The 13,661-nt window shown below is 40.6% G+C and overlaps 1 protein-coding gene across 58 annotated transcripts in view; it reads left to right on the forward strand.

Moving 5' to 3' along the window:
* The window catches only part of SIPA1L1 (signal induced proliferation associated 1 like 1), a 420,734-nt gene that overhangs the window by 366,890 nt on the left and 40,183 nt on the right, over positions 1-13,661 (forward strand). For 55 of the 58 annotated variants that reach the window (XM_047431217.1, XM_047431229.1, XM_047431218.1 and 52 more), the window contains one exon: positions 11,616-11,762. The exons of the other annotated variants lie outside the window; for them this stretch is intronic. In XM_047431217.1, the coding sequence (XP_047287173.1) occupies positions 11,616-11,762 (147 nt within the window). The remainder of the gene's footprint in view (positions 1-11,615; positions 11,763-13,661) is intronic. 58 annotated transcript variants of the gene reach the window in all.

Consider the following 13,661-nt stretch of genomic DNA (forward strand, 5'->3'; position numbering starts at 1 on the left):
TGGAATTCATGATTTGGCCCACATTTTGAAAGATGAACCTAGGAAATCACTGTATAGAGAAGGACCTTTTCCCCCACCTCAGTGCTGTTTTCTTTCTCTCCAGAACAATCAGCAGGCTTTCACAAGTGAAATTGGCTTTGTGTAATTTCCTTTATACAATATTCCATTTGAGAATGTATTTTGATTCCATGTTGAATTTAATTTCTGCAACAGAAACTAAAGCTCCTTGCCAGTCATACTGACCTTCAAAAGGGAAAATATTTTTTGTAGCTGAGTATCATATTTCGATGGGAGCAGCTTTCAGTGCTAGAGAATGCAGAACTCCATTTTTTCCAGATGTAGATCCTTGAGTTCTAGAGGTAATTTCTGTGTGTACTTGTGTCTGCCTTTCTTCTTTACTCCACCCAGAGGAAAATGCATCTCAGTAAGTGCGCCTTCTAGAAGACCATTAGAGTAGCTTGTGACTCTCTAAGCTGCAGAGGTGAAAGGGCCATAGGTGGGGCTGACGAGGTTTTCAGGAAAATTTAACCTCTACTCACTGCCCCCTTAGTCTCTGGTATATATTCAGTACACTAGACTAGGATTTCAGATCTTAGGATGCAGGGCTTAGATGACTTGTGAGATCTCAGTCCTACAGTTTCCAGGATATTAGGATGATTTGGCTCATCTTCATTTTGAAATATATGGTAATTAATTGGATGGATATTCTTCTTTTATGAAAATTTAAAGTTCAGTTTCTTACCCCATCATTCCTAATTTTTAGTAAAAAATATCTTTTAAGTTTTAATTTTGAGGCATAAAGAGAAGGTACTATAGATTGAATATCTTAATCCAAAAGTCTGAAATCTGTAATACTACAAAATCTAAAACGTTTTGAGCACTGACATGATGCTCAAAGGAAATGCCCATTGGAGGATTTCAGATATTCGGATTAGGGATGCTCAACTGCAAGTGTAATGCAAATATTTCAAAATCCAAAAACTTCCAAAATCCAAAACATTTCTGGTCCAAAGAATTTAGGATACGGGCTACTCGTGTTTGAGAAAGTTTGTTTTGCTACTGTGACTCCAGGAATATTTGAGGATAGAGCAGATTCATGAGTTTTATCAGAAATACTTCCTCAGTCCTTCTTGAGTCCCCAGATGCATAAAGTTCACCTTAGAATATAATTTCCTTCATGAAATTTAGTAAAACATAACTGAAAACTTAAAGCATCCCCTTTGTAGTCCTACTGAGAACAAATACCTTATTGAGATACAGAAGTGAGGAGTACCGGGGCACCCCTCATCCATCTGACTCTCCCCTGCATACCAGCGCCGTCCTGAGTGCCATTTACAATTTGTACCTTGTACTCACCAAGTATAATTTGGACCTTTCAGAGGAATCATAAATCATGAAAATAAATGACAGGGTCTGCCAGACCTTGAATCTTGCCTTACCAGTAATGGTGTGGCGTAATATTGTGACTAAAGAATGCTTTACAGTTGTTCATTCCATTCATTTTTTCTCCTGTAGGTTAGGGAAATTGTGTTTAACCATAGAGAAACCAGCTATACTTAAGCTCAAGTTAGCAGCCATCTCAAGTCTACTCCTCCAGTGCTCCCCAAATCTGCCCACTTAAGTAACCATGGATGGATCCAACACAGTCCATTTTGGGTGAAAACACTAATTTACTGCTTGTAGAAGCATAGTTTTTCTTTAATTTGTATGTAGTATCCCAGACTTAAAGGTCATTAGGAACAAAAAAAATAAATCTGCATAATATTTTTCCTTTAATATCAAGGTCAGGATTTTTATGACATAAAAATGTTGGTGTTTTGAGTTTTAATAAAAATTCTTTAGTTGGATGATGTTCTTTATACATAGTTAAGAGAAACTGACACAGTAAGAATTGATAATCCATTTGGCATCTAAATAGAATAAAGTCTAATTTCTATTTGGTTTAAATATATGAGTTTTATGCTCTCCAGGTGGCTTTCTGATTACAGAATTTTACAGTATTTGTGAGAGTAGTAGTTATTAACAATTAACATTCGTTCAACAGAAATAGGTAATATGATACGGTCACTATTTTGGCCTCAAATTTACCTAGAGCTTAAGGGTAGGATTGAAATAAAAATTGCTGGCTGTGGCACGCTGAACTTGATACATTACTGTGTTTAAACATAATGCGGGATCAGCAATAAAACCCTGATCTGTGTTAATATGCTTATAAAAGTTGAGCTATTTGAGGGGCTTTGGATAAACAACAGACATCTTAGCATGTAAAATGATTTTCTTTTCTCCTTTTTTTAGGCTGGTATTACCAGCCTTTATGTAAATATTTGATGTTAGAGCTCACTGAACACTTGGTACTTCTGAGTTTTACCTGGATGTCATTGTTACTCCCCTTGAGACCCCTGCACTTAACTCTTAAGAAGCTGGATGGGGGGCCTTTTTTGTTCACGCAGTTATGGCAGCTGCGTCTGCAGCCTCCCTCCCTCCTTCCTTACAGACACCAGCACCATATAGGGTGTGAATATGGTGGAAACAAACTTAAAAGAGTTCTCCTCTCAGAGAGCATAATAGTCACGTGACCATTCAGTCTTGATTTTTAAGGAAATACTTTTTAAGTTTGTTATATCATACAGGATCTAAGCTAATCTTCCACTGTGTCATTTTCTGCTTTCAAACAAAACAAGCACCATTTAATGTTTACTCTTCTTTTGTTTAGAATATTAGCTGTGGTTAGAAGCCTCAGACTTGTGCTTTCCAAATACTGGCCCCCTCCATCACAGCTTCGTGCCTTGCCATGAGGATCCTGAAATCATGGGACTTTTGAACTTCACTGGGAATGCTCCAGCTAGGTCCCCATTGCCCATTGACTTCCATATTTCTTTTCATTTCTTTAATTATTTTTTTTTTGTGACAGGGTCTCACTCTGTCGCAGTGGCATTGATCTTAGCTCACTGTAAACTCAAACTCCTGGGTTCAAGCCATCCTCCCACCTCAATCTGCTGAGTAACTAGTACTGCAGGTGCACGCCACACCACACCCAGCTTATGTTTTGAAATGATTTTTTTTATAGAGACAGTGTCTCACTCTGTTGCCCAGACTAGTTGTAAACTCTTAGCCTCAAGTGATCCTCCCTCCTCAGCCTCCCAAAGTGCTGGGATCACAGGTGAGAGCCACTGCACCCAGCTAACTTCTACATTTCTAAAGCTTCTGGATGGTGTTAGGTCCTTAGCTTATTTGATACCATTCACTACTCCCTCCTTCTTCAAATTACATTTCCTTGTCTTCCAAAAGGTATTCCTGATTTTTTTTGTATCGTCAGCTCTTTGCGCCTATCTCATCACCCTGAAATTTGTGTTCCCCACTTCTTCCTCATTTTTATTTGAATCCCACACTGTGCAATTCTTCTAGAAGGTTCATCCACTTGAGCAACCTCAACTGTCATCTGTATGTGGGCAGTTCCTTAGCTGATCTGTTTTGCCTTGGTCTCTTTTTCACTTTTCATATTCCTGACTACCTACTGAACATATGCACTTGAAAGGCATGAAAGTGTCTCACATTCACAAGTTCAAGCTGACTTGACCTTCACACCTGCCCCTCCTTCTGCCTCTTCCGTCTCGTGTGTTACCCACCTTGGTGGATGGCTTTGCCATCTACCTGAGTATCCAGAGCAGAAGTAGGATTCGTTATCAACTTCCCCTCAGCACTATCATCCCATCTCCACACATGTTCCTGCCATTGCCTGAGAAGTTCTCATTTCGCACTAAGTTTCTTTTGCTTACCTAAACTGTTGCCAACAGCCTCTAGGTATGATTACCAGCCTCCCACTGGAAGGATGACCTAATAAAAATGGATATACTCCTCAGGCTGTGCCTTTTCATTATAGCCCTTCCATAGTTCCACACAGCCTTCAGGATCAAGTCCAACTCACCAGCAAGTTTGCCTGTGTTGGCTGGGTGCTGTGGTTTATGCCTATAATCCCACCACTTTGGGAGGCCAAGGCTGGTGCATGGCTTGAGTCTAGGAGTTCAAGACCAGCCTGGGCAACATAGTGAGACCCCGTATCTACAAAAAATAAAAAAAAATTAGCCAGGTGTGGTGGCACATGCCTGTAGTCTCAGCTACTTGGGAGGCTGAGTGGGAGGATCACCTGAGCCTGGGCATTTGAGGCTGCAGTGAGCCGTGATCACGCCACTGCACTTCAGCCGGGGTAACAGAGTGAGACCCTGTCCCTCCCAAAAAGTTTGTCTATGTGGACTTGCCTTTCCCTTTTCCCCTATCATCGTCACCACCCCCATCCCTAGGCATGGGAGTGGCTCTCTCCTCTGCAAGCACTATGTTCCCCTTGATGCCTTTTTAGGAGCTCCTCTACTTGGTGCACCTTCCACTCCTTCTTTTGACTGCTGAAGTCTTGCCATGCCTGCTCCTCTGACAAGTCGCCTTTAATTTCCCCAAAACACTCTCCTCCCATTTCTACCTTAATTGCCTCACTAGGAATGTTCTTACCACCACATGGCTTCTTCACTCACAAAATTTATGAAACTTCGCTTTAATGTTATTTGTCCATTTCTTTAAACTTAGCCTGTCTTATTCATCTTTGTATTCCAAATACCAGCCACAGACTCTGGCATTTAATAGGCTCCCAATGCTTTTTTTAAGAAGAGTTTCCTCAACTTAGTGTGTCTACACTTCACATGGTAGTCCAGCTTTCCACACGAAGAGTTTCCTCTACTTTCCATTTGTGGTAATGACCCTTTAATAACAAAAGGGCTTATTTAAGTAACTGGGGACAGAATTTAATCTATCTTGGAGAAAATAAACCAATTTCCTTTTATAAAAATTAGATGATAGGTAAAGGCAAAGCACTTGATAGTCTGATAAAGCTATAGCATTAAACATAGATATAAGTAGAATTATTTGGTTTTTGTTGACTAAGTTTAGAATACTTCATTTTAAAAGTATATTGCTGGTAGAGCTTTTCTAAAATTGACTCAAAGTGAAATGCAAGATCTTGATTGACTCCTTCAAAAGGTTTTAGTTGGAACTGAATTCTGGTGGTGTATTTGTCAGCCAAGACAAGGGAGAAAAGCAGAGGGCCGCATTTGACTTAAAGTGACCGGACTCTGAAGGCTCCTGTTTTCCACTCCTTGCAGGAAACAGCGTACTCTGGCATCCATGTCAGGATTAGAGTTGATGTGATTTGCAAGTTCACATTTTTAGATGATACTGCAACAGTGGTTCCTATTCAGGCATTCAGGAAATGGGCACAATGGCTTCAGCTTGGCACACCTCCCAGTTCCCCATCGTTTACAAACTCCAGAGTGGCCCAGGAATGGGAGGAGAATGCTCCAGTACTGTGTCCAGCTCCAGCTCTTCAGTTACTTACTCATCATTCCTTGGGCCTCGAAAGTAGCTATTCTGCACTCACCCTAGGGAAATGTTTCCATAACGGCTTCCTCTCTGCAGGGCCACCTGTGTATTAGTGTGACCTGCCTGGAAATTCCTAGAAGCACCAGGAGGGTAGGCTGTGCTGTCCAGGGGCCATGATTTGCATCCTGCCTACGCTACTGGGAGTGTGTGGCAGTGGGCAAGGTCCTGTCCTTCTGCACTTTAACATCCCCATGACTCAAGTAGGTCACAGCCCCACCTCTTAGAGTCTGTGAAGATTAATTAGGGTAATACAGGTTCAGCATCCCTTACCCAAAATGCTTGAACCAGAAATGTTTCAAATTTCAATTTTTTTTTAATTTTGCGCATATTTGCATTGATCCTATTGGTTGAGCATCCCAAATTTGAAATCCAGAATGCTCCAATGAGCATTTCATTTGAATGTTATATTGGCGCTCAAAAAGTTTTGGATTTTGGGGCCAACTGCTGTGGCTCACACTGGTAATCCCTGCCCTTGGGGAGGTCGAGGCAAGTGGATCACCTGAGGTCAGGAGACCAGCTTGGCCAACATGGCGAAAGCCTGTCTACTAAAAACACAATAATTAGCTGGGTGTGGTGGCGGGTGCCTGTAATCCCAGCTACACGGGAGGGTGAGGCAGAAGAATCACTTGAACCTGGGAGGAGGAGATCGCAGTGAGCCGAGATCACACCACTGCACTCCAGCCTGGGAGACAGAGCAAGACTCCGTCTCAAAAAAAAAAGAACAGGATTCCCATGATCTAGTCTGAACAGCTGGTATGAATTATGTGGTTAGAAAGCCAGCAGTAACTCTGTTCACAAAGTACACAACAGGAAGTGATGAAAAGACAGGCACGAGTTGCTTGAAGTTGAACACAACTTGTTCAAACTACTCCGGTTATAGCACCCAAATTACATCACCTTGAATTGTTGTAGAGATTTTTCTTTTTTCTTTTCTTTTTTTTTTTTTTTACATAATTTTGGAAGAATCCTAGTTGATATACATGGCTGAAGACAGAAGACTTTAACTTGGTCCTGTTCCCTGGTTGGATAGCAATTGCTAAGTTGTGGTAAAATGCTGTGCTTAATTATGGACTCAAGCATTTAATTTGTCCATCACTGCTGCTGTTTGAAGTGCTCTCACTTGTTTATACCACCAGCTCACTGTTTGCACTTGGGTTACTGAGGGCCTTATGTCCTTGTACATATCTCATGTTGGAATAAAAAGTAAGAAATAGAATAGAGATTTAATTAATCTTACCTAATCAGTTAGGAAAATATTTTACCATCAACTTGTCACTTAGAATTCCATAGCCATAAGTTGATAAGTTGTAATCAGTCATAATCTGGAGTGATCAGTTTAATAAGAATCTATTAATGTTGGCACTATATATGTCGTCCTGTGAGTTGATTCATGGAATAGGTGTGGTGGAGGACAGGGGTGGTTGTGTTAGAAATCCGTGTGTGTGTGCGTGTGTGTATGTGTGTGTGTCAGCTCTCTTTTTTAGCCTGGTGTGCGACTGCTTCTGGAAGAATGAAGGACGTATCTTGGACCATCTCTTCCTAAATGTCCAACCCCTTCAACTCTCTGTTTTCACTGCAGTGAAGTGCATTGCATATAAATGAAAAGCTGGTGTTTAGTGTTAAGTGTAGTCAAAAGACTGTGGAAGTAATGTCTCTGGATGGTGATGATCATGACTTTTTCAATTGCGCATTCTTAGTACAATAAAAAAAAAAGCCCTGGTGTTTTATTTCAGCAGAAGGAAGCCCCAGAGGATGTTTAGTATCAGTTATTTTAAAAATGTTTAGTTATTTCTTGACTAAATTTATAAAAATATAGAGAAGAAAATCTTCTGAAATTAATGCTAAAAGATTTACAGAATTCCTCTCTGACAGTGACCAGAGCATTCTTTAAAAAGAATATTGCCTGTATTCAACAGAATGGAAAGATCTCACAGCAATTGAAAGAGGTATTAATCTTTGTCCTCTAAATCTGTTGGGGCATTAACATCAGACGTTTGGGGCTCTTTAAGCAGAAAGATCTGGATTTATCTCAAAAGAGAAGAAAAGTCTCTTGTGATCTTGCTGTAACTTCACTGGACTCAGCAGCTCTTAAAACAGAGTACGCTTGTAAGGTGGGGTGGGATGGACAGAGATCCAGGAGATCAGTGTGCTGGTTTTCCTATGTGAGCCAATGTGAGAGGTACTGCTCCCAGTTCTTGAAGCACCTCTTCAAAGTGGCAGGATAGCAATCAGCCCATCTTCCAATAACGATCAGCCTCAGGCTATCTCTTCAGAAGTGGACTGCCAGTACCCAGACAGGCGGCGGTGGCTTCCACTCTCCCACTAGGTCTGTTCTCAAATAATATTTGTGTGATAGTATCAAATTCAGAGTATTTGGAAAAAATAGTAAGTCATCAGAATAAGGGCTAATTCTGAATTTTTCTTTGCCTACCATACATACATCTAGAGTCATAAAAACATTTGGGTGGCATTCCATCAGTTGCTCTATGTGTGTTCTATGTGTGTGAACAGTCAGAAAACAAAGCCACTATTGAGTTATATAAATGCAAAAGAGGGATGGGAATGAATGCCAGCCTTCTGGAAATGCTATTTTTTCGCTTTGGGATAACTCCAGTAACCAAATAGAATTTTCTGATACATTTGCCAAATAAGAAAGCTGAGGTTGAGAACTAGCCTGCGATATCTTAGCTTAATATACGTTTGGAGAGCAGGGTAAGAAAAGCAGCCTCTAAATACAAATGTAAAGGTTACATCTTGACTTTTCCTTTGGAATTATGTTGTAACTTCCTCATAGAAGCATAAACATTTTAACGTTCACCGTAAATATACTTCACTGGCATTGCTTGTTTACCCCTAAGTCAAAAAATCATCAGACCCCTACACGTTGCATTAATCTTCACTGGGTTAACATTCCACTGCTGTCTCCTTTTTTTCTAGTTTTCTGTAACACCTCCTCCCCTTTGCAGTAAGAAAGTCAAAGCAGCTATGAAGTGAAACTCTATTTGAAGTTTCTCTCTATTAGGTGTGTATAAGAGCCAAACACTTCAGGTTGAAAGGAATGTGGTATTTTGTTATATTTGGATTCACGTCATTCCTTAAGCCTTACTTGGTTTTCATTTTCATAACCAATTCCTCCTATTCATACCCCTTTCAGATCACCTTACAATTAATTACTTTAGAATAATAATGAGAAATTTGCAATATGTCTCAGTGGAAAAGAGTAAAGAGAAACCCATGTTATGGTACCCAGATAAATGTCTTGATCTTCTCTTATTAAAACACATTACCTGAAGTAGAAATGAGCTAGTATCCCACTAGTACGTGGCCCCGCCATACCTGCCCCACGCATACACTACTTTGAGATCTGGCAACCTAATTACAGTGCCAGTGGGTGATTGGCCCATATTTCTCACAGTCTGTATAGCAACAGCAAGATTGATGATGATAACAGGAAGACTTTAGAAACCCTGCTTCTTTCTTCTCACCACATTTCCCGAACACTGACATCCCAAGTCTCCCTGTTTACCCCATTTCACACTAGTTAGAACAGGCATTGTCCTAAGTTCTCTCACCATCATATGTAAGATGGATGATACTCACATGGGTGTCTGGGCTTAGGTGTAATTCTATCACCTGTAACTCCATCCCTTTTTCTTGCATTTTAGAAGGCATATTAACTTTCAGTCTGTTACAGTTGCTTTTATTAAATTATTCACAAATTTTGGCACTTCATTATTAGTGACCAACTGTTGTTCAAGTGATCTAGCCCCACCATAGTTGAGAACTCCTGATTTGGGGCATCTGACATAACTATGGTACTTGTCCTGAATCCCCCTTCTCTTCTTCATTTTCTACACCACTGATAGGGATTCTCCTTCATTCAAAACACATGTTAAGCACTCAGAAATGTAAAGATAAATAAGGCTCAGTCCTGGCCCCTTAAAGACAGAATCTTAATTCACATTAAGGGAGACACACATAAAATAACCATTCTGTATGACTTGGTGTAATGGTGCAAAGAACAGATTGTCATGGGATTTGAGGAGATTCTAATCTATGAATTCAAAGCTATGATGTTGGCATCAGGCCTTTTTATGTGAGTAGCAAAGGAAGAAGGCATTCCAGGCAGAGAGAAAAAGATGAATAATAGTGTGAATGGGCAGAGTCTGAGAACTGGGACACCTTGACTTTCTCTAGAATGTAGGGTGTGTGGAGCCATTAATGGGGATGGAGATGAGGATGGGGTTTGGTCAGATGGTTCAAGGCCTTAAAGAGGGTCTCAGGGATTTGGTCCTCTATCCTGTAGGCAAAGGGAAGCTTTGAATAGGCTTTTAGCAGTCTGTTGACTTGATGGAAGAGGGTGGGTTGGGGCTGCTGGAGGAATGGGGTGGAGAGAGCCTGGAAGTTGAGAGACCTGTCGGGACACTTGGACTGACCCAGGCTGCAGGTGAGAGAAATCAGAAGCCCCTCAGCAGGTTGGAAACTAGATATCTTCTTTGTCTTTGTGTTATCAGGACCAGCACCAGGTGCCTGACACACAGTTTGTGCTCAGTAAATAGTAGTTGAACTTAATTAACCCAATTGACTGTGGAAAGTAAAGACAGAGGAAGGAAAAAAATGGCTTCACCATGTTTAGCTTGACTAGACACATGACTTGCAGTCACAAGTTGTCCTGTGAATAAAGCCATTATGTGGTACCAAAAAAAAAATGATGTTTATCTTGAGATAACAAATATAGGAAGGGCAGTTTGCGTTATTGGAGAGTGGGATAAAATGTGTTAGTCTTGAAAAGGTCTGATTTGGATTGCTGGTGAAAGGTGTCCAGTCAAGATGTTTAGGAGAGAGCCGGAGACAAACCTGGGCTCTCAAGTCAGATCTGCCTCTTGGGCATGGATTAATTTGGGAGTTGTACCTTTTAGTATCTATCCTTATTCTTTCTCTATTAGCAAAGCTTCTCAGCTTCCTATACCTGAAGCCCCATCCTGCCCTACTCAGAAGATAAATAGGTTCACTGTGGGACAGGGCCTCTGCCAGTGAAGCAGCTTCTGTCTCAAGACGTCAAAACTTTGACTTGTCTTAAGATAGCTTTATGTGCAAAGTTGTTTGAGCATGCAAACCCATTATAAACTGTCTTATTAAAAAAACAAAAAAAAAACCACAGAAAACAGGCCTTCTCTTAGGGGACAGCAGTAGTTTAGCATGGAGTGCAGTGGGCTTAGAGTCTAGAGACCTGACTTGTTGTGAACTTGAACAATGACTTAGATTTCACTTCCTAAGTTATAAAATGGAAATGACCTCCCCTGCTACAAGTAGTCGAGTGATTTGTGCCAGCATTTGCTTCTGAAATAAAATACCATCGTTACTAAGGGTTAGCTTAAACCTAGTCACAACTGTCAGCACAGCGTCACTTACTCATATCCCTGTGGTTGCCGTGTTGCCTACTAGAGTAGAGGAGGTAGAGGGTAAAAAACATGTCTGTCCTGACCACAAAGCTATGGTTTCTGCCTTGACAGCCAGTTGGCAGTGTGAAGGACCCATAACTTTAAAAACAGATACATGAGGTGCCCATGTGGAGCACACTTCTACTGTGATATTATATACATTCAGTAATTCTAGTTAAATTCAACAACTGCAGTTTTAGACATTTTTTCATGGAGGTTTTTATATAGTGATACTACTACCAACCAGAATTATAAATACTAAATAGCAAAATCTGAATATTCATTCCAGAGTGTGAATAATAAAATTGGAAAACAAAGAAGCATACAAAAAATGTACCAGTGTTACTATGGTCATATACTCTGGGAGGACTAGTGTAAGAAATTGGAATTAATTGCTATGTTAATGTCACTTGGGTTCAATTATCTTCTGCTCTGCCATACTAGGAAACTGCATAAGTAATTTAGCCAATTGAATTCTGGCAGCTTTTGGAAGCATACATGTTTTCTAGATCTTTTTTCCCCATTATTTTGTGACACCCACCCCCACCCCCTCCAAGGCAGTTTTCCAGCTGTTCCCCTAGGGAGTCATTTTATGGGGAAGTTTCTTTTGTAGGCTTCCAGCTGGCTTCATTTTCACTATCTCCATGAAGTCACTGTTTTTGTCACATTTATATGATATTATCCATCATGCGTTGCCTTGGGATTTTCCCTTTGAATTGTTGACTTCATGTTTTTGTATTGCACATGCAGGCTGTCTCCTGGTTCGGACATCTATGTGACGGTCTCATCCATGGCTTTAGCAAGATCCCAGTGTCGGAACTCTCCTAGCAACTTGTCTTCATCCAGTGATACTGGTTCTGTGGGGGGCACTTACAGGCAGAAGTCCATGCCCGAAGGGTAGTTATGCGTTTGTCCCATTGTACATGGTCCCTGTTGGCATCATTTCTTTCATCTGTACTCAGACATGTAAAATGACTTCCATTCAGCCAGCCTTGATCAATTTGTAGACAAACAAAAGAGAAAACGTAGTTAATAATCCAGATAGAAAAATGGCTTCATGGCTGGTTTAAACTACTTCTTAGGAAGTTTATCATCCTCTAGCCTCTACGAGGAACTAAATGGCAAAGAAATCAAATTGCATTAGTTTGTCCATTGTATATATTGTTTAGTTTCACAGTTCAGATTTTGTCACTTCTTATTTACTCCAAAGTAGAAAAAACACCTGTACAAGTTTTAGGATGGGAATGAGAGGCAGTTAAGAAGCAAAACTGTTTAAAAGACATAGGGCGTGTTCTACCCTCCTTGGAGATTTATTTTTGGACCACACACTTTGAGGAATTCTGACCAGGCAGGGCAGGTCCAAAGAGAGGGCCCCGGTAAATGAGGAGTTTGGAGACCATGTGGGAGAAAGAACTGAGGATGTGCAAGCTGAGGATGAGAATTATGGAGGTAAGGAGGCCACAGTAGCTTTCTTCCAGGACTCTTAGATTAGGGATCAAATTTGTCTGTGAGGACAAGTGAGGCCAATAAATGAAAGTTATAGAGAAGAAGGGTCCAGCCCATTTTGAGGAAGATATTTCAAAGCTGTCAGCCTGCCCTGGAAAGAACTGGATGGCCTCATGAGGCAGAGTCCTTGATCACTGAATGTGTTTCATATGTCAGCCAAATGATTACTTAAAACTCCTTCAAATCTAACTGTGACTCTTAAACTACTAAATGCTTCTCTGAACAAAGAACAATTAAGTTCTTCAAAAACAGCACCAAGTAAAATTTAGAACAAGTTTTATCTTAGCTCTTCAGGACTGGGTATCCCTTATACTCTGGCATACAATAAATTGGGGATAGGGGGCATACATGAGAAATGAAATTAAAAGTTCATCAGATGAAAATGTTTTCCAAAGCAGAGTTTAAGGATAGTTTTACCTTATTGTTTATTTAAAACCAGAGGGCCAGAAAAATGTCCAGCTTTAAGTTCAGAGGTTTAAAAGGTTCAGAGGTTTAAAAGTTTACACTGCTACCAAAAAATAAAAGCAAGTGGGCACTGTGGTCCCATATACTTGATAGGCTAAGGCAGGAGAAGATCCGTGGAGGCTGGGAATTTGAGTCCAGCCGGACAACATAGCCTGTCTCTTAAAAAATAAAAAAGTAAAAGCATGATTAGAATCCATTTCTAACTGGCATCTCCATGCCTTTTAAAAAAGTCTTAATACAAATTTAGAATAGGATCATAAATAGGTATATTTACTCTTATGAATGAAACAAGGACCCTTAGGGAGGAGATGGCAAAAAGTGTAATTGTGAGTCCTTTTTTTAAATGACCACTTTAACCAATTAGAAGTTTTCATAAATCAAGGTTTTTATTTTTGATAAGTGCTACATCAGTATGTGAGATAGCTTTGCTTAGTGAGCCTTGTGATGGGGTATGTAAATGAAAAGCATTTGTGAAACAGTAACTGGGGGGATGATATAATAAGAGTTTTATTGGCTGGTACGGTGGCTGTCGCCTGTAATCCCAGCACTTTGGGAGGCCGAGGCGGGCGGATCACGAGGTCAGGAGATCAAGATCATCCTGGCTAACATGGTGAAACCTCTTCTCTACTAAAAATACAAAAAATTAGCTGGGTGTGGTGGCGGGTGCCCGCAGTCCCAGCTACTCAGGAGTCTGAGGCAGGAGAATGGTGTGAACCCGGGAGGCGGAGCTTGCAGTGAGCCCGAGATTGCGCCACTGCACTCCAGCCTAGGGGACAGAGCAAGACTCCGTCTCAAAAAAAAAAAAAAAAAAAAAAAAAAAAAAAA

Source organism: Homo sapiens, chromosome 14, assembly GCF_000001405.40.
Source record: "Homo sapiens chromosome 14, GRCh38.p14 Primary Assembly".
Lineage (NCBI taxonomy): Eukaryota > Metazoa > Chordata > Mammalia > Primates > Hominidae > Homo > Homo sapiens.